General features: G+C 35.6%; 1 protein-coding gene across 3 annotated transcripts in view; it reads right to left on the bottom strand.

Annotated features, from left to right (window-relative positions):
- PTGFR (prostaglandin F receptor) overlaps positions 303 to 19,650 on the bottom strand; it is a 49,728-nt gene continuing 30,380 nt past the window's right edge. For all 3 annotated transcript variants that reach the window (XM_047426085.1, NM_001039585.2, NM_000959.4), the window contains one exon: positions 303 to 4,598. In XM_047426085.1, coding sequence (XP_047282041.1) covers positions 4,317 to 4,598 — 282 coding nt within the window. In that variant the 3' untranslated portion in view covers positions 303 to 4,316. The remainder of the gene's footprint in view (positions 4,599 to 19,650) is intronic.

Genomic DNA, 19,650 nt, shown 5'->3' with positions numbered 1-19,650 from the left:
GCAATAACTTTCAGTTGAAGCTCAGAACACAACATTTGGTTTATATGAAACTACATCTCAAGATTGCTAAGACTTAATTTTACCAAGTTTCTGACTTACTTCATGTACTGTCATGTTTGAGTTCAAAATGAAGGCACTATTCCCACTTGGAAAAAAAGAAAAGAAAAGGAATGTACAGTTTTATCTTGTTCCAGTGCGATTATACTTCAGCTTTTCCAATAATTTGATAGAACTCAGTAAATTACCTTTATATCAAGGTAAATATATGCTATTATAGGGAAATTAAAAGTGCAAAGGCAAAATACATTTTAGTCATTTTCATTTATTAGAAAAGCAACCATTTCAGACAATACTGCAACAATGCTTGGTATTATACAGAAATGTTTCAATTGCCTGAATTTTTAAGAACCAAGATTTCCCTCTTTCTATTATATAGTCCTTTTAGTCATCTAAAATTTCTTTTAGTTCATTTATTCTACCTTATCTTTACAGATTACAAGACCATGCTTGTCAGTACTTACAAAGAGTGAGTCCTAAATGTTTCTATGCCATGATGTTTCTAAATGTTTAAAACAACTTTTAAAAATCGTTTCTGTTTAAATGCTATTAGGAAGACAAGAATGAAAATTTTTTTTACCTAATGTGGAAATCATTAGTGCTGTCTACAAATTAGTTTCCGTTTTCCTAACATATAGTATTGCACTTAGCTGCCCCCTGGGAAGTTAGTAAAGCCACATTATTTATGTTAGCTGGAGAAGTGTATGCAAATGTGTGTTGCCTCCAGATGGATATTCTAACAGCCTGTGTGTGATTCACCATGCTCTGTAGTTTGAGAAACAGCCACATATAATGGTGGCTGTTTTTTCACCTGAGTTCTCTGAGTGATTACAACAGCAGAGCTCCCCTTCAGAGTGGACAGGAACCATGTGGGAGATACAAACTTTTGTGAAGTTTATGGCGCTGTAATTTGGAGATTGTTTCTTATTACAGACACATTGAGGCTTTTCTGAATGATATATCTAAACCTGGAGGTTTGGGAAATCAGATTTCTATCTAAATTATGACTTGCCTAGGTAAGTTGAGACACAGGTAAAAGAGAGAAGATATCACAGAAGATTGGGCAGGGTGGGAGAGCAAAAGGTAATAATGGAAATTAAGTTGAAATTCTTCTCATCCAGTAGCAGATAAAACGGGAGTTTAGGTTCAAGCGTTTCAAGTTTTATATGGTCCTTCTAAAAATAATCACTCTTGAAAAACATTAGTCCAACTTTATTATAAAATTACTTGTTTGAAGTTTTAAGCTAGTCAAAGCACTAAAATTACATGAGTTGCATACCAAAGCAAACAACAAAATATACATATCACTATTTAATCTCTATACAATCCAACAAGTATGAAGAGCACAACATACATTTATTCACATAACCAAGAAAAACATGTTTCATCTACTATTAAAATGTGCCAGTAACAAGTTGAAGTCCAACATTATTTACCAGGTGGTAAAATCTTTGACACCCAGATTAAGAAGTAATAAAATGTATATTCCCAGCATTTATATTCTGACCCAAAACAGTTATTTAATTTGGAACAATGATGGTATACAGGTGAAGCTAGCAATAGTTTTAACAAAAAGTACACTCTATATTTAACAAGTCCTCTTATTTGGGTTCTAAACTCAGAGTAGGCACAAAACAAAAGCAGATTTCTCAAGTCCAAAAGTGTGCAAACAAGAAACATTTATCACATAACAAAATATATCTACATATGTATGTATTAACTTTCAGGTATTTTTCGTTTTAGCTATATAGATCATTAGAAGTAACTTTCTGCCTCTAGGGAAAAAAAAAAATAAGGGCCCATTTCTTTCACCTAGTTAACCCATCAGTAAAAGGTCTGATGTTTTGGACTTACCCATAGCTAATTGTGAATCAGCATTATCTTTGTATTCATAGTCATAAAAACCTATGTGTGATATTTTTGCTTTTGTCTCATCTTTTTAGAAAAATTCACTAACACCTGTAAAAATCCTGACATGTTTATGTTATTTGCCCAGAATATATAATTACCGAGAAATCATGTTTAAATAGTATGTGAAGTTGCTTGGATAATGCCTTACCCAGTTCAAAAGGAAATTCAGTAATTCTGAAGATTAGTTATGAGTTTTGAAATAGAGCTGAAAACACTCAAATTGGTAAATTTATTGAAACTATTTGTGCCATTTATTTTACTATTTATTTCCAGAAACCTGAAAAAATACACTTCTATTTTGAACATTTATGTGAAAGTTATTGGTAGATGTTCCAGTCTATTATTCATTACACAGTAAATCGCCAAGCTACATGCAACACATATAATAACAGAAATGAAACTCTTAAGTCAGATGTGCACATTGTTGCATTTGTTTTCTATAATTTTGTTTTACTCAGAAGAAAAACTTAAAACAATGAAAACACATTCCTTTTTTTTTTTTTAATTTTTGATGTCTACTTCTTGGGTTAACATCATTTTTAAGACCAATTTGGTTACCCAAACATATACTCAGATAACATAGATAACCCTCCTAAGATATGTACACATCTCTCTCACTCCTTAAAGCCTTGCACATGGCCATGTTGCAAGATCTCCTCAAGTCAGTACACATGGCCAGGGTGACATCATGGCAATACAGCAAGAATTCTGCCATTTATTTAGAAGCCTCAAGGAGAAGGATCCTGGAGCCCCTGAATGAGAGTTTCTTCTCCATGCCTCTCCCCAGTCAAAATACATGGAAATATTCATAGAAGCATTGTACCCAGCATGATAAGGAAGGATGGAGAATGGTTCCTTATATCTCTGTTCACAAGACATCAACACTCTTAAGTAACTGTATGAAATAAATTCTCTGCTGAAAGCAAATAAACCATCTGAAAGGTCTTCTGGTTACTTACACAGATTTCCTAGAGAATCTGAAATCAGCCTAACAGGGAAGATTAATTTTTAAATGAATCCAAGTTAATGAAAGCAAAGAACTCTTATACAGAAATACATTTTCCTATTATAAAGCAGGACTACCTTCCCTAATTTCTGATAGACCTAGGACAATTTGAATGGGTATTGAAATTCTTTTGGTTGAATTACACAAACAAGCAAAGAAAAAGTCTCAATTATTATTGGAAAATTTGGGGAGAGATTATTATCTCTTGATCTCCTAGTTAATTGTTATAATAATCCCCAAGTGCTTGGCAAATTGCCAGTCTTCCCCTCTTAGTACTGGTAGCACAGGCTTTAGAATATGCCATCTTACAAATTTAATGAACCTGCTCTCAACAGAATTTTCTGATGTCTGTGTGTATATGTGTGTAAAGAAGAAACACACTAGCTGCAGATAGTCTTTGAATTTTATATATTGATTCTGTTTCTTTTGTTCTCTGACACAAATAATGGCTCAAGGTAAAGCACCTTTTGCCAATATTCTTTGCACCTATCATTGGCATGTAGCTTCGGTTTGTTTGCATTATCCATGGTAGAGTTTTGAAACTGCTGTAATTCTAGTTGCCCATCAATGTGCTGAGAAAGAGCCTTTGTTTCTCTAAAAATTATTTATTGTGCAATCACACACAAAATTTTCAGAGAAAAAATAATTATTTGAAAATTGCTAATCTATGACATGAAAAAACACTTCCAACAACAATCGACCTTCATAATAATAAATGTAGGCAGTCCTATTTGTCAAATATGACAAGAATGGGCCCATTCTAGATAGGATTGCAGGGTCAGGCAACCTGTCTGCCAGACCTGGAATATGCAGAGGTTGTTATAACAAACCATCATGAATTCTGGGTGTCATGACCATGCATGTGTTAATTGAGGCTACACAATGAGGGGCAAAATAGGCCAGATCAAAAAATAAGAGTGCTTTATTTTACTGAGCCTAGTTTATAAGGGTTAGCTACAGAGCGGTGATCTCAAAATAACCATTTCACTATGCAGGCTGCATTAAGATGTTCTCTGGCAAATAGGCCAAGTAAAGGCATTAGACCTCAACAGATGATTCACTCAAAGCATAAATAAGACAGATAAGCTCAAAATTGCTTTCAGTGTGACTCCCATGGCATTATTTTATTGTGTCTACCTCCCATTGGCAAAAACAAGTGAAAAATGTACAGTTATCCTGTTTATTTGACAAATTTCAAAACCTGAATCTGACAATAGTATCTTCAAACTACATGATGAAGCCTGAATTTTCCAGTTAGGCTACAGGTATTTAACTAACTGAAATATTGCCAAACATGTCTTAATTTTGTTCTAGCCCCACACAGATTTACTGTCCTATTAAGCTAGGTGCTTGCTGATTTCTCTGCAACTGGTGACTCAGAAATAGCAGCAACCTTTAAGGAATTTTTAATGGAACTAAGCTCCCAAATATGTAAGCTGATGACATGCACTCCACAGCATTGACTGGCAAGCTTATAGAGATTCTTAAGGACAGCCTTTCGTAGAAGAATATATACCCAAGGATCTAAGATTTGATTCCATGTTGCCATTCGGAGAGCAAAAAGTGTTGTTTCACAGGTTTCCAGAGAATGATTTCCATTTATTCCAATGTTGGCCATTGTAACCTAGAAACGAAGAAAACACGGAAATTAGTTGATGCAGCCTTTTCAATCCTATAATTTTTAAAAAATTAGCTATGCTAGATGACATTCATTTCACTTTCCACAGAGTGATGCTATTGTTTAAAATACTGACAGAAAGAAATCAATGATAGCAGAAACACTGATGGAGACAAATGAATCATTTTAATTCAAATTGACATTAGACCTACAAAAATGATAACTTCTATAGTAAGTCAAATATGCATAAACAGAATCACCTAAGGGAGAACAAACACTGATACCAGTAACTGACCTTCTCATACTTCTGAGAATAGTAAATGCAAAGCCAACACACATTTGTTTTATTTCAATGAAGTATTTTTAAATAAATAAATTATAGATAAGCTAACAAATAGTTTTACAAAATGAATTTAGAGCATCTGATATTAATTTGCAAATGGTATATGACAAATTTTACTCTGAGATTTTCTGCTTCTTAACTACAAGGATACCACTGTCTTCAATTTTCTATTTCCCTTTCTACATCTCTTAGCCTTAGCCTTAACTTGGCTAAAACATTCCAAAAAGTATGCAATGGAATTTTCTAAGGACTTTGAGGAAAGGAGTTTCTCTCTACACCACAGTTGTGACTTAACTGTAACAATGTATTTTGTGATTTCATGTGTCCATTTCCTGACCACCCATGATTTTGAAGAGATCATTTCATGGAATCAGTTCTATAAATTGTCCCAGCTACATGTTAGAACTAAGCAAATCACTGATCCCAGCTTTGACTTCCAAACAAACAGTTGTGGAACAAATAAGGTGGCTTTGAAAACATCTTGGATATACAAACAAATAAGAAATAGGTAAACAAAAGGTAAAACTGAAAAGTGAAGCTTGGACCATTGTGCCACCATTAAAAGATGACGTAACAAAGACCAAAACACAAATACAAAGAAAATCAAGACCCATTACTAGAAAGAAATGTATATCTTAATTTGACCTGATGATACCAATGGTTGAAGAATAAATGTTCTTTATCAAAACCTTCATTGTCTACACAATAAAGTACAAACTCCTCAGCTAGCTCCTTGATGATGCATCTGAAGTCTATTTCTATAATCTCATCTCTCTCATCTCCCCTGCAAATTCCGTATGATACAACCACTGTGAAGACCTCATCTTTCCCAGATGCACCATGCCCTCCTGAGCTTTTGTTTGTGTAACTCCTTTTGTTTTGAGTTACATGGTGCACACTCCTCTGATTCTCCTCTCTCCTCTACAAACAGCAGTGTGGTCACCAGATGTGGGAAGGCATAGAGTCCTCTTCTGAGGGAGCCCAGTGCCCAGGCTTCTCCCCAGAACACTAGGGCACTGCCCAAGCACTCATCATTACTCTCTCTCCACCTTTAACCCCTAACCCCAGCCTTGGAAAGAGGTTATTCCACAGCCTGACTTGGGAGAAGCACTAATCATTCAGCCACCAATAAATGTGGGGAGAGTATTTCTGTAAAAGAAATATCCTTTATCATTAGTATATTAGTAATAACAAATACATTCATAATATTGATAATTCAGGACCACCTAAGTATCCAACAGAAGATAAATTATAACACTTTCACATAATTGAGATATATGCGGACTTTAATGTTTGTGATTCAGTGTTAACCTTTTAAAAAGCAAATTGCCAAACTGTATTGATTGTGTGATTCCATTTTTGAAAAAAAAACCAAATATGTAATTTTGTTCATAGAAAAAAGCCTGGAGTGTATGTCATTGTTTTCGTTGGTTAACTCTAGAGAGCAGAACTACAGAGACTTTTGATTTCCTCATTTTGTTTGTCTCAAATTCACTAATTTTTTAGATCGATCATGCATTGCTTTTATAAATTATGTTTTTTCCCCTAAGAAATTTGTGGAGATATACTATTTTACTAAAGAATCAAAACTAATGTGGATTATTTGTGTACATCTCTATGGATGTGAGTAGGGCAGCACTGAAGTTACCACAGAATCTCCTGGAAAACTGAAGCCCTGATAAGGCTGGCAAGAGACATGTGGGAGCTGGGGTCAGAACAAGGATGTCTGCAAGCTGGTTCGACAAAAGCAGTCGGAAGCCATTTTCTCTGGTCTCTGGCAACAGTCTCCTGACAAGCGTTGAGAACATTATTCTCTGTCTAGCCCACCCGCACTTGTATTCCAGACACTTAGGTAGAGTCTCATCATACACACAGTCTTTCATACAGTTTCCAAGAGCTACCCAGTACATGGAGCTAAAGGAATATGGGTTATTTTCTAAAATCTCTTCCTGTGAACATTGGCACATTACAGTTGTATATCCTTGTTGATGATTAGAATTCTGAGAAGTAGACAGGACAAAGTATTTGAATATTCTATGAAAAAATTAATTCACCTGATAACTGTAAAACACTGGACACTAAGATAAGGGAAAGAATGAGGTCAAAGAAGCATGGAGGAAGGATAGTATATGTTCATTGCCAGCTTGCAAAGAATAAAATAGGCTGGTAATACAATGAATCTCCATTCATTTGGGCCACGTAAAACAATTCTATCAACTGTTAACATCATCAAAGTTAATGAATCTGCCAGGCTACTTTACTCATAGATAATAGAGCCCATGTTTGCTAAGGTTTTATTCTGGATGTTATCGCATCATCTCTCCCCCATGTCTGTACATCTGTTGGCCAGAGTCAGGGCTCTGTGGCTGTTTACTATTCAAAGCAATGGTAAATTTGATAATTATGCTTCCATTCCTCTGCATATTCATAAACATAAATCAATCCAGCAGCAAGTAGTTTTGAGTGTCTGCTGTATGTAGGCATCGTGCTAGATGGCACTACCGCCAAGACCCAAGTTAATGTGAGTAAAACAGAAATGTAACTGAAGGGATTCTGAGAACAGAAGGAAACAATGGGCTCCATTTATTATGCACACAGAGGACTGTCTACATCACCTCTCATGAGAAGACAGAATCACAAATCTTACAGGGTACAGGAAAATGTTGTCTAGTCCAGACTTCCATACAAAGTGGAAATTACTTAGGGATGTTATTAAGTATGTGAGAAGAAAGTCTCAGCACTACTCAGGAAAAAATCTTTTCCATTTGAGCTGTATGAGTTGTAGAATATTTTCTGTTACCAGGAGCTAAAATTTACTCAACATATTTTAATTTAGTTTTCTAGAGCATCATGGGATAATCAATCCATTTACTAAATGTCAGCCTTTCACATATCTTAAAATAATACTAGTCTTATAGTTCTTCAACTGCTTTTCATACAAAATGGTTTGCAAACCACTACCTCTTATACTCTAGTTTTCTCAATCTTTCTTTAAGAAAATACACTGGACAGAAATAAACTAACTCTATATATGGTCCAATAACTACAAAGCTCAATGGAGCATCATTTCCTTTTGGACAAACTACTATCTGTGCCTCCAGGACTACATTAGCCTTATATATTTCCTTGTGGATTGATCCGAGTTCATAGTACATTACAAGAAATAACCTCTTACTTAATATTTTTACTCAGTTAATATGTAGAGTAAGACAGCCTTCACTTTTCCCTGCTTATTTTTCAAATTATTCAAATACTTAGAAAATATGGATATATAAATATACATATATACACGGAGTTACAGTGACATATCTGTGACTCGATATTAATGAATTTACTAGCCAGGCATGGTGACACATGCCTGTAGTCCCGGCTACTCAGGAGGCTGAGGCACGAGAATCGCTTGAACCCGAGAGGCAGAGGTTGCAGTGAGCAGAGATCACACACCACTGCATTCCAGCCTGGGTAACAGAGTTGAGACTCTGTCTCAAAAAACAAAAAGGTATATGTGTGTATGTATATATACACACATATATACACACACAAATATATACACATATACACACACAAATATATACACATATATACACACATATATACACACACAAATATATACACATATACACACACAAATATATACACATATATACACACATATATATACACATATATACATATATATATATATATATATATATATATATATAAATGAATTTACTTGACGGCATAAACTTCCAGTTCTGGAGCCTCAGGTGTCACGTCTGAGCCAGCACCCATGTATAAGTTGTTTGATCCACTTTCATGTTGCCTCTCCATCCACACCTTGTTTTTCTGTCATTTCTCGTTGAGTGTCTTATCGCTTTAAAAGCAAACATCATATTATAGACTCCTAAGTGGTTTTCCAGTCTCTAGTTATTTGTTTTTCTTATTGCATTTTGTTTTCTCTAGTTACAAAATATTTCACAAATGCCAAAAACATGCCATGTTCCCTGCCCTTCCCTCACTAAAAATTACATATCTAAATCCTCCTACCCTTGTCCCATCTTCTGCAGAAAACCTTTCTTGATCTCTCTGTAGCTGAGTAATGTCTCATTCTATACAGCCATTATGTGTGACACCACTCCTTTAATATTGATAAACATAATATCAGTATAATATGTAGAACATATTGAAATGAGATAATGTCAGTATATGTATAATAGTCCCTTGTGTCTTGAGGGTAGGAACTATGTCTTTAACTTTCTCAAATCCTACTCCTCTACTTTGTAGAACATCATTAGGAAGAGACTCCTACACTTGAGTTGGGGAAGACAAGAAGAAACAGGCAATTACAAGCACAGGAGTTAGGAGGGTTAACAGAAAGCAGGCCAGGCAACCACAGGTCCAAAGAGTCAAGTTGGATTTAAGGTAAAAAAATAAATTAATTAATTAAATAAAAGGAAAGAAAACTTATATGAACTTTTGTTTCAAGGAATTCCTCAGACTCTCTATGACCTTTAACTTCTGGTCTGCCCAAAAGTTTCTATTTACTCAAGATAAGAAATCCTAGTAAAGTTAAAGTGAGTTTTAACTTTTTTAATTGTTATGGTGATAGACCTTACATCTCCCCATAAGCCTTCGCTGTTCTTAAGGAAGGGCCACAATTGAAGATCACTGGGGCAGGTGAAGAGAAGGAAGTAGGGATGTAGAGACTCCTACCTGGGCCAGATCCCAGAAGGGTTTGGGAACTGGGATGGAGGTGGTGGGATTCAAGGTGCTACAACAGAGACGTCTCTGTCTTAGAGGACTTGCTCTTGTTTAAAGAAGCTCTGCCATCCCTGCATCCTCTGCACAATAGGTTGTTAGTTCACTCTTGTTAAATCAAACTCACTGACTAATCAATTAGTTCGATTCAACTTTAAAGAAGCTTTGACCCACCTACTTCTGGCCATCAAATATACCTGTCAGTATCTCAAACCTCCAGCCACAGGGATGGTGCAAGAAGACCAGGTCCACTGGGGTGGCTTAGGCACAGGAGGGATCATGGAATTTCTTTACCCCAATGTGTCTTCAAGGAAGGAGGAAAGGGAAGGAAAAAGTCATGTTATCACTTTGTATATTTTAATCCAATTCATCCTCCTAAAACCCCCAGAGGTGGTTGCTATCTTTCTGATATTGCCAAAAAGAAAGCCAAGTCACAGACACATTAACTTGCCCAAGTTCACACTGCTGGTAAGTGGCAAAGGCAAAATTTCAGCCCAAGTCTATCTGGATTTCAAATCTGTCTTCCACTACACCATTCCCAGTGGTGCTATGTTATATTTATGAATAAGATGATTAAAAAATAGCTAACATTTATTGAGTACTTACTATGTTTCAGGCACTGTTTTAATATGTTACATCTATTATCTCATTTAATCCTGCTACACCTCTGAGAGAAGCAGTATTATCTCTACTTTAAGATGAAGCTGAGGTACAGAGAGGTTAACTTGCTCTAGGTCAAGCCAAACAAAAACATGGTGGAGTCAAGATTTGAATAGTTGGAGATGATGACTAAGGATTTGTGTGTTAGCCTCCATGGCACCAGGAGAGCTCATTTTTAATTCTCTATGATTCTAGTTCCATCTGCCTATGTCTAGTTGTCTTTCAAGCTGATTCTAGCACACTCTCATCCAATATTTCTAAAATTACATTTTTACTAGCATCTTTTTAAAAAAGTAGGAACTGGTACTAATAAATGTTTTGCTCCAAATCTTCTGTGCCCATAACAACAGATATAACCAATAGGAAAATCAAATGAGTTAAACTCCACATAACCAAGGTGTCCTTCAGAAGGATGGCTGTCAAAACAATGAATGTGCAGAGGACAGCTATCTGTCCCAGAATGAAAAGGTAATTGTAAAAAAGTATCACTAATAGATTCACTAATAGTGATAGATGGAATAAAACAATGCTCAGTACCTTTTATCTTCCTTCTTCTTATCTGTCCCATGATGAATGGCATGATTTTCATTTCAGTAGTTCTTTTTCTCTTATTCTTTAGACCAGCAGTCCCCAACCTTTTTGGCACCAGAGACCAGTTTCATGGAAGACAATTTTTCCTTGGCAGTGGAGATGGTTTGGGGATGAAACTGTTCCACCTCAGATCATCACGCATTAGATTCTCATAAGGAGCGTGCAATCTAAATCCCTCCCATGTGTTCACAGTAGGGTTTGTGCTCCTATGAGAATCTAATGCCGCCACTGATCTGACAGGAGGCAGAACTCAGGTGGTAATGTTTGCTCACCTGCCACTCACATCCTACTGTGCAGCCCAGTTCCTAAAAGGCCTGGGCCTGGGGGTTGGGGACCCCTGCTTTAGACTAATATTCAGATGTCCTTTTGGACTTTGTTTTTACTTTTTTAATCCAAACTTTTGTATTCACCCAAGAGTTATCCTTATTTTATTATTTCTATTCCTTGGCAGTGGTGGAAATTAAAAAATCAGTAGGCAAATTAAAAGTCTTAGAAGAAGAAAACACATCTATAAAATCTTATATTTGTATATATGCCTTACTTTGGCACAAAAGGAATTTGAGGCATTTTACTTCAAACCTCTGGCTCATTCCAGATATGATTACCTACATCAAACACATAGTTACACTAAGAAAATATTAGTTATGCTCCAAATATTGGTAATAATAGATGCATAAGACATTTTCATCCTAATAAAAAATGTTTATCTAAAATATCATGACTGAAGTAATTATTAGCATCCCATCTATGAATTAAAGAAAAAACTAGTCCAGTAATTAGTTGTAATATTGGAGGTACAATGATTCAGGAATAAAAGGCTACTTTATTTGACCACTGGCAACGTCGTTTTAATAGCAAAAACAGACCATACCAGTTAGGCGTTTCAGTAAACCATCTCTCCTATAACACATTATGTTTTTTCCAGCAAGAAATTTCCAACTGGCCCATTTAGTTTATTGCTACAGTAGTTTGGAAAGATTTTTCAAAGCATTCTCAAAGTTGTGGTACAATAATTAATTATTTAATGAGAATTTTTTTCTCATCTATCTACTTATTGAAATGTGTGTAGGTCTTTTGTGCCTGGGCATCTATCCATTACTGAAATGTGTGCATTGGTTCGCTGTGCCTCAGCCTCTATCTGCTTATTGAAACTGTGTGTATTAGTTCACGGTCTCAGCATCCATCTACTTGTTGAAATGTATGTGTTGGTCTTCTGTGCCTCGGCATCTACTTATTTATTGAAATTTGTATGTGTTGCTTACTGTGCCTGGACATCTAACTATGTATTAAAATGCATTTGTTGGTTCACTGTTTTGGGACCTATCTCTTTACTGGAATGTATGTGTTGGTTCCCTGTGCCTCGGCATCTATCTATTTTATTTGATGGGAGTTTTAAATGAGAAGAGTGTCCTTTCAAAAATAAAAGATATCCATACATTTTAGAGAAAATTTGTCTTTGAAAAAGCCAATCTAAACCTACAGACCAAATGCAAAGATACTAGAAGACCAACAAATTAAGGCACGTGGAACACACAGAAAAGAGTTGAGCCAGAATTAATAATAAATGTCTATTTAACCCTAAAGCATAATATGAGTCTAGTTAAAGATAAAATCCATATATACTTCTGGTCGGGACAAAAAATCAGCCCTTCCTGATGATCCAGTCAATTTCACTAAAATTAGTTCAGTTTAGTGGTGGCACTTGAGTCAATCTTGTTGTTTGGTCAAAAGGATAAGACAATTTGAGTGTTGTGCTTTTTTTTTTTTTTTTTTTTTTTTTTTTGCTAACTTTCTGAACTTACTTCTCTGGAGTTACACTTTTAATTTTTCTTCAGCATACCTAAGCAGAAAATTGAAATTCATCTTTCTTAGTTATAAGTCAATGTATACCCAAGCATTCTCCAGGTAACAGCCTATGGGTCAAATCTCTGATCATATTTACTCTCTCCCATGTAATTTTCAGCCTTTTGAATACATTTCCTATCTCATGGTCTAAAATATTAGCCACAAAGTTCAGTGCCAATCTGTCTCCTCTACAAAACAATCTAGTGCAATGGTTATACCCCACATAATTTTCTCCTGACAATTTTCTGTGTATTACTCATCCTTCAACTGTTTCGGAAGCTTATGCCATGACTCCATTAAACCGTCAACTCCATCAAGAAAAAGATTTTGTCTTCTGGACACCCTTATTCCCAGTGTCATGCTCAATATTTGGTACATACTGGCATTCAGTAAATACCAAGTGAAGGAATTAATGAGAAGAAATGTTAGGATCCATGGAGGTCACAAACCATGACTCATTTCTCTCTGTGCTGGGCACATAGTGGCTGTCTATTTGTTAACTGGCATACAACATTCTCTGTAATGCACAAAACTATACCAACTGCTTCAGCAGCCTCATCATCATCATAAATGAATAACCAACTTTCATCTAGTTCCTGATACTGTTATATTCAACATGCAACAGAAGACAGATTTAATGTGTTGTAAGATTTGGGGAGAGAGGGAGTCTTTTTTTCTCTCTCTCTTTTTAGCATAAGTATGTCACCAATGTATCTCTTTGGCATAATTTAGGTGATATAATTACAATTACATTTTTATACTTCATTAATCATTACTTCCCTAAGATCTCAGAAAGCAGTCGTTTACTGGTATATTTGCATAACACTGATAATGAAAAAATTGCAGTAAGTCCTTTTGTTTAAGATACAGTCAAGAGAGGCCATCAATCATTGTCTAAAATTCATACAATTTTACTACTATATGAAAACTTGCTGTCTTTATGCCATTTAAACTTTTAAATGAAGACTCACATTACTTTTTTAAATCATAAAAATCCAACTTTTAAATAAAAATAAATGTTACAATGCAGTATACAGCCATTAGGTTGAGCTGATTTTCTTTCTGAGAAAAAGTACCAATCTCCAGATTTCTGACCAACAGTCTTTTAAGAAGCATTTCATCTTACCTAAAAATTCATAGTTAGTAGCATGTATTATATTTGCTGCCATTGTAACTGAAGTCCATGTCTTGTGGTAATGTATACAAATAAAACCTTGAGAATGTGTCAAAGTGGTCCACTAGAGAGAAAATTTCAGCCTGCTGACTATCATCTATCCTTAACAAAGCTACAAGGCCCTGCAAGATATGCCTTCTATAAAACAGATTGCATCCTCCCTCTATTTTATGGACAAGTCACAGTTAATTCTACGATCAGCACAGTTGTGTTCTATCCCTTTTAATGAGTGACTGTAGCCCATCTTTGAAATGGCTCCTTGACTCACTATTGGGCCCAAACCTTTGCTTCACCAAGGCACCTCATTCACAATACAGGTCAGTGTCTGTCTTGAGTATTTCCTTGTCATGCCACTGACTAAGGATTGCTCACTGTGTCACTTGTCACTTGCTAAACAATGATATATATGGTGACCCCATTCTTTTTATTTGTTCATTCTTGAGAGCTATATTATAAAGAGCACAAAAAAAGGTTATTTGTCTTGGCTTCATTCCAATAAAATCACTAGTGTTCTCATCCTGCCGTCCAGGTTCAGGAAGATTTAGGACAAAATGTTAGGATGCCTGGATGTCTGTGGCTATGGTGTTAAAACTGTATAGGTTCTCTCTACTCTGTCAATTTACACCTCACATTTCAGCCATTCCCTGCTGATGAATGACACCAAACATACAGCAAAAGGCAAGAGCACTAGAACATGTTTAGCAGGATCCAGTGATCTCATTTAACACTATCTCTAGAAATGCATCAAATCTCAGCTCTCAGTGTGTTGAATTTGATGCCACAGCAATCCCATACTCCACAGCCTCTCATAAAGAAAGCATTAATTATCTTCAATTTTCTATTGCTGAATAGGAGACCACTTTAAAATAAAGATCTAGCAATAATTTTTTAGTCCCAGTGAATAATATAAATTGTGTATAATTCTTGCAATGTTGGGCAGGACCTTTTTTTCACTTGTTTGTTTTTGTTTTTAAAGGCATACTGTAAGTCTAGTACAAACCAGTCTCAGCAATCAACCAAAATCAACTGTGTTTCCTTGGTACGATCATTATGTGAAGAATTAGTAATATAAGAATATGCTAATTCCAGAAGACTACTTCCAATTGGAACAGTTTCTAAGATTTTAAAACAAACAAAATATTCTGCTACTACTTTTAAGTCTTACTGTGTAATAAAGAGTTTGACTGGTCATTGTCCCTGGTTCCTGGAAGGGAGCCTCTAAGCCCTTGGAATTTCCTTAATGATAGGAGTATCTTTATTAGTTCTGGTGGACACCTTGGACCAAGTCTCAATTTCTGTTAATGTGGTGACTCACTGTGGGACCCTAAATAATTTCAGGATGGGGACTGGCCATACTTGAAAGACCAACCATGTGATTAGAGGGTCAGGGCTTTGAACCACATGATATCAGCCTGACCTTCTAGAGACTGAGTTCAATCACATGATCAATTATTCAATCAATTATGCCTACATACCAAAATGTAATTAAAAACCCTAGATTCCCACAATTCAGATGATCTTCCCTGGTTGATGATACCCATTAATATAGTAGGAGGTGAAACATCCTAAGGACATGGAAGCTCAGTGTTTGGGACCCACCCAGACCTCACCATAGGAGTCTGTTCTTTTGACTGGTCCTAATTTGTATCCTCTATAATAAAATTGTAAATATAGTACTTTTCTGAGTTCTACAAGTCATTCTAGTAAATCATCAAATTCAAGAGGGTAGTGGGAAACCTGAATTTGTAGCCAGTTTGTCAGAAGTTCAGGTGGCTGGGAATCTCCCAAGCTTGCAGATGGTGTCTGAAGTTAGGGCAGTCTTCTGGGGGACTCTGCTATATATCTATGAAATTTGAACTAACTCCATGTAGTTAGTGTCAGAATTGCCCTGCTGGGTCCTTGTTACATCTTTGAGCATGGCAGTATGACAGAGGTTAAGTAAGGCTGGAAGTATTACAATAGTCTTGGGCTGCTTCAGTTTAGGCATCCTGATACACATCTGGCATGTTGGAATTGGGGATGGGGTACTATTTTCATACCACTAAGAAGCAGTTGGAGGATTTATGTGAACTTTTGATTAAGCCAAGGTGGTTATCTTGGGTCAAATACATTAACAGTAAAAAAAAAAAAAAAAAAAAAAAAAAAAAAAAAATCTTGCATTTGTCCAAAGTGTAGAGCTTTAGATGAAGTTATTCCACATTTCCCTCTGATTGGTATAAGAAAAATATTTTATTATAGAAAGATACAGAAGGTTAGAACTGGAAAGAATTTAAAAATTGTGTAGTCTAATTTGTTCTTTTCATAGGAGAAAAAATAACCAAAGCAAGAGGGAAGGTGATTCGCCCAAGATAATAGCCATTTAGTATCGTAGCTGGGACTGCATAAGATCTGTAACATCTAAAATTACACTGTGATTCCCAAGCTCCTTTAGTTAGGACATTGTTCACTAGCTAAGGTAGATAAATTCTGATCAGGTTGTATTGCCAGTGAGAAAGAAAGCATGCAGGATATAATCAAATGTCTTGCCTCTCTTTTATTGGTCATTGAAATAGAACTTAATGTCTTTTTAAATTTTTTGCTGACTTACATAACTAAACAGTTGGCCTATGCAAATATTCATTCCATAAGCATTTATAAGGCATCTATTATAAGTCGAATCTAGGTATTTGGTTCTGAAGTCACTTCAAGAACTAATAAAAGTCCAGTAATCCTCTAGATAACATGTATTTATCCTCTTCCTCATTTTGTTGATACCAAATGGATTACTCTTGCTCCAGTGCATTATGAAGCCAACCAACTCATCAAGCCCTATGTGTGTGCAGTTGTTGAGTATGGTGTGGAAGGGATGGGGGTTTAAAGAGGAAGGATGCATACAGGGACAGGTTCACACCCTTGAACAAGTGCCCTCATCATGTGATGTCATTCTTTTCTAATGAGCTAATGAATATACTCAATAGTAGCGACTCCACCAGCTGCCCAAAAGGCACCATTAAGATTAAGCAAACCACACATTGTTGTATTATGTAAGTTGCACTAGACCTTTGTGTTCCAAAGGAGTTACTGAAATTTCACTTTTTTACTTTCAGAAATCTAGTACTGAGATATTTGCTGGATTAGATGCTACTTTCAGACATGCTGGGCATATAGTTCCCAAGAGTTAGGAGTGTATCATTCAACATTTAAACTAAGGAATCACCAGAGTATGTGAAAAACCCTTTGAGTCTCTTCTTTAAACAGTGAAATGCAGACAGACCCCAACTAACAAACATTTAAAATATCACTCATTTACAAGTTATCATTTAAACCACAGAATATGGTTCACCATAATAATGTGGCATCTCTTTATTATATAAGCTAGTTTAAAATATTATTTAAAAATTAGCTAAAATAAAATTCTGTTGCAGTGTTAATAATCCTTACCAAAAACTTTATCATATCTGAGAGCTACGTGTAGATCCTATCCACCCTACCTGTGCCAGACTCCCTATTTCCTGGTTAGTCCAAAGGTATTTATACGTGTTTTTCACATTCTCCTTTCCCACAAAACTTATTCTTCAGCTCAGACTTCTTTTCATGACCACTTCCTCATGAGTTTCGACCTGAATTATTTCTCCTTTTTCTTCCACTGTCCCAACATACTGACTACCTGTGACTCATTCTCTAAAGATATTATTCTATAATATAAAAAGTGTCTTTAAAAGTAAATGAGATTTCTGGGACTAAGAGGAAGGAAATGTGCAAATTAATTCAATCTTTCTGTAGGACAATTTGGGCAATTTGGAAAAATATATCAGTAAGCCAGTTCTCCTTGAATCAATTCCATGTCTATGAATTTATTCTAAGGAATCAAATAAAAATAGTGTACAACAACCTACAAGTTGTTCATCTCAGTGTAGTTTATAAAATGAAAAAATATGTAAGCAATCTCCAACAAGCAGGGATTTGTAAAAAGAGATTATAGTACACCTACACAATGAAATACTTTGCAGCCATTAAAATGATGTCACCTAGGAATGCTTGCATATAAGGGAAAATAATTATAATGTAGTTAAGAAAATAAAGAAGATTACAAAGTAAAAGTGTTTTAGTTTGGTTAACATAATAATAATTACATAGTTAAAACTTATTGCATAATTCCTATGTACTTTCTGACATAGGTACCACTAATATTCCCATTTCAATGATAAGGAAAAGGAGAAAAAAGGAAGTCAATTATCCTGAGTAAAGCCAAACAGATAGTTAAGATAAATTGGGTTCACAAAGTCAAACTGTTTTTTTAGAAAAAACAGATTTTGCAGGGGCGTCCAAGGGAGAGAATACAGTCATGCGTTCTTAGTTTCTGTTTCTTGTTGGGCCAGTAAAGCCCTTTCCTCATCCCTCTTTTCTGCTTATCACTAGAGACAGAAACTGAAAACCATGGCTTCAGTCTGCTAAAAGCCTAAAACAAAACAAAACAGAACAACAATAACAAAATAAGTCTGGTTGGACAAGCTCGATAGAGCCTCTCTAATACATGTGTATATGCTTTGAGAAAGGAGTAGAAGAATATGAACAAAAATATAACAGTACATAACAAAAGCTGGGTATGTACTTGTGTTAGGCAGAATTTCAAAAATGACCCCTTTAATATGCCCAACCTAGGCCCTGGAACCTGTGAATATAATGAGATATGATTCCCATGATTATGTTATATTATATGGCATGGCCGACCTTAAGATAGTGAGATTATCTAAGTGGGACTAATTTAATCACATGAGTCCCTTTAAAGGCAGATAACTTTCTCTAGCTGGTAGCAAGAGAAGCCAGAGAGATTCCCAGTGTGAGAAGGATTCACTGCACATTTTCTGGTTTGTGCATAGAGGGGCCACAGGAGAAGGAATGCAAGCTGCCTCTAGGAGCAGAGGACAGCCCCGACCTGAGGGCCAGTCAGGAAACAAGGACCTCAGATCTACAGTCACAAGGAAATGGATTCTGCCTGAATGAACTCTGAAAATGATTCTTCCCCCAAGCCTGTAACAGCCCAACACTGCTCCTACCTTCATCTCAGACACTTGTTGAGACCCTGAGCAGAGAACTCAGTTGAATGCACCCAGATTTCTGACCTACAGAACTGTGAGATAAGATGAGCGCTGTTTCATGCTGCCAAGTTATAGGACTCTGTTATGCAGCAATAGAAAACTAATAGAGTACTTATGAGTGATTTAAATTTAGGAAACAGTGAAATTTATATATAGTAGATCAAAAACCTACAACAGCCATTACACTTACTGGAGAAAGTGTAGATGCATTTTAAAATCTGGAACAAGACAAGAGTGCCCACTATTACTACTACCGTTTAACATAGTATTGACAATGCTATAAGAAACAAAAAATGAAGTATAAGAATCAGGAGAAAAGAGATAAACTTTTGTTACCTAAAAAAATGATTAGACTCAATAAACAATTGAAACCAATGAGTTCAACCTGTTGCTGAATATATGACCAACTTAGAAAAATCAAAATCACTTCCCTATACTAACAATACCAACTATAGAATAAAATAAAACAATTATTTCTGTATTTTTCAAATTTTATACAATGAACACACATAACTTTGTTAGTAAGTACATGTCCTATCAATGGTCATAGTCAAAATATTTAGAACACTGTTATCGATCAATCAGAATGGCACAGGCAATAATCAAGTAGTTCAGCCATATACGTAT

The sequence above is a fragment of the Homo sapiens genome, chromosome 1, assembly GCF_000001405.40.
Source record: "Homo sapiens chromosome 1, GRCh38.p14 Primary Assembly".
NCBI classification, from domain to species: domain Eukaryota; kingdom Metazoa; phylum Chordata; class Mammalia; order Primates; family Hominidae; genus Homo; species Homo sapiens.
Note: the sequence above shows the minus strand (reverse complement) of the source record. Positions and strands in the feature narration are given on the sequence as shown.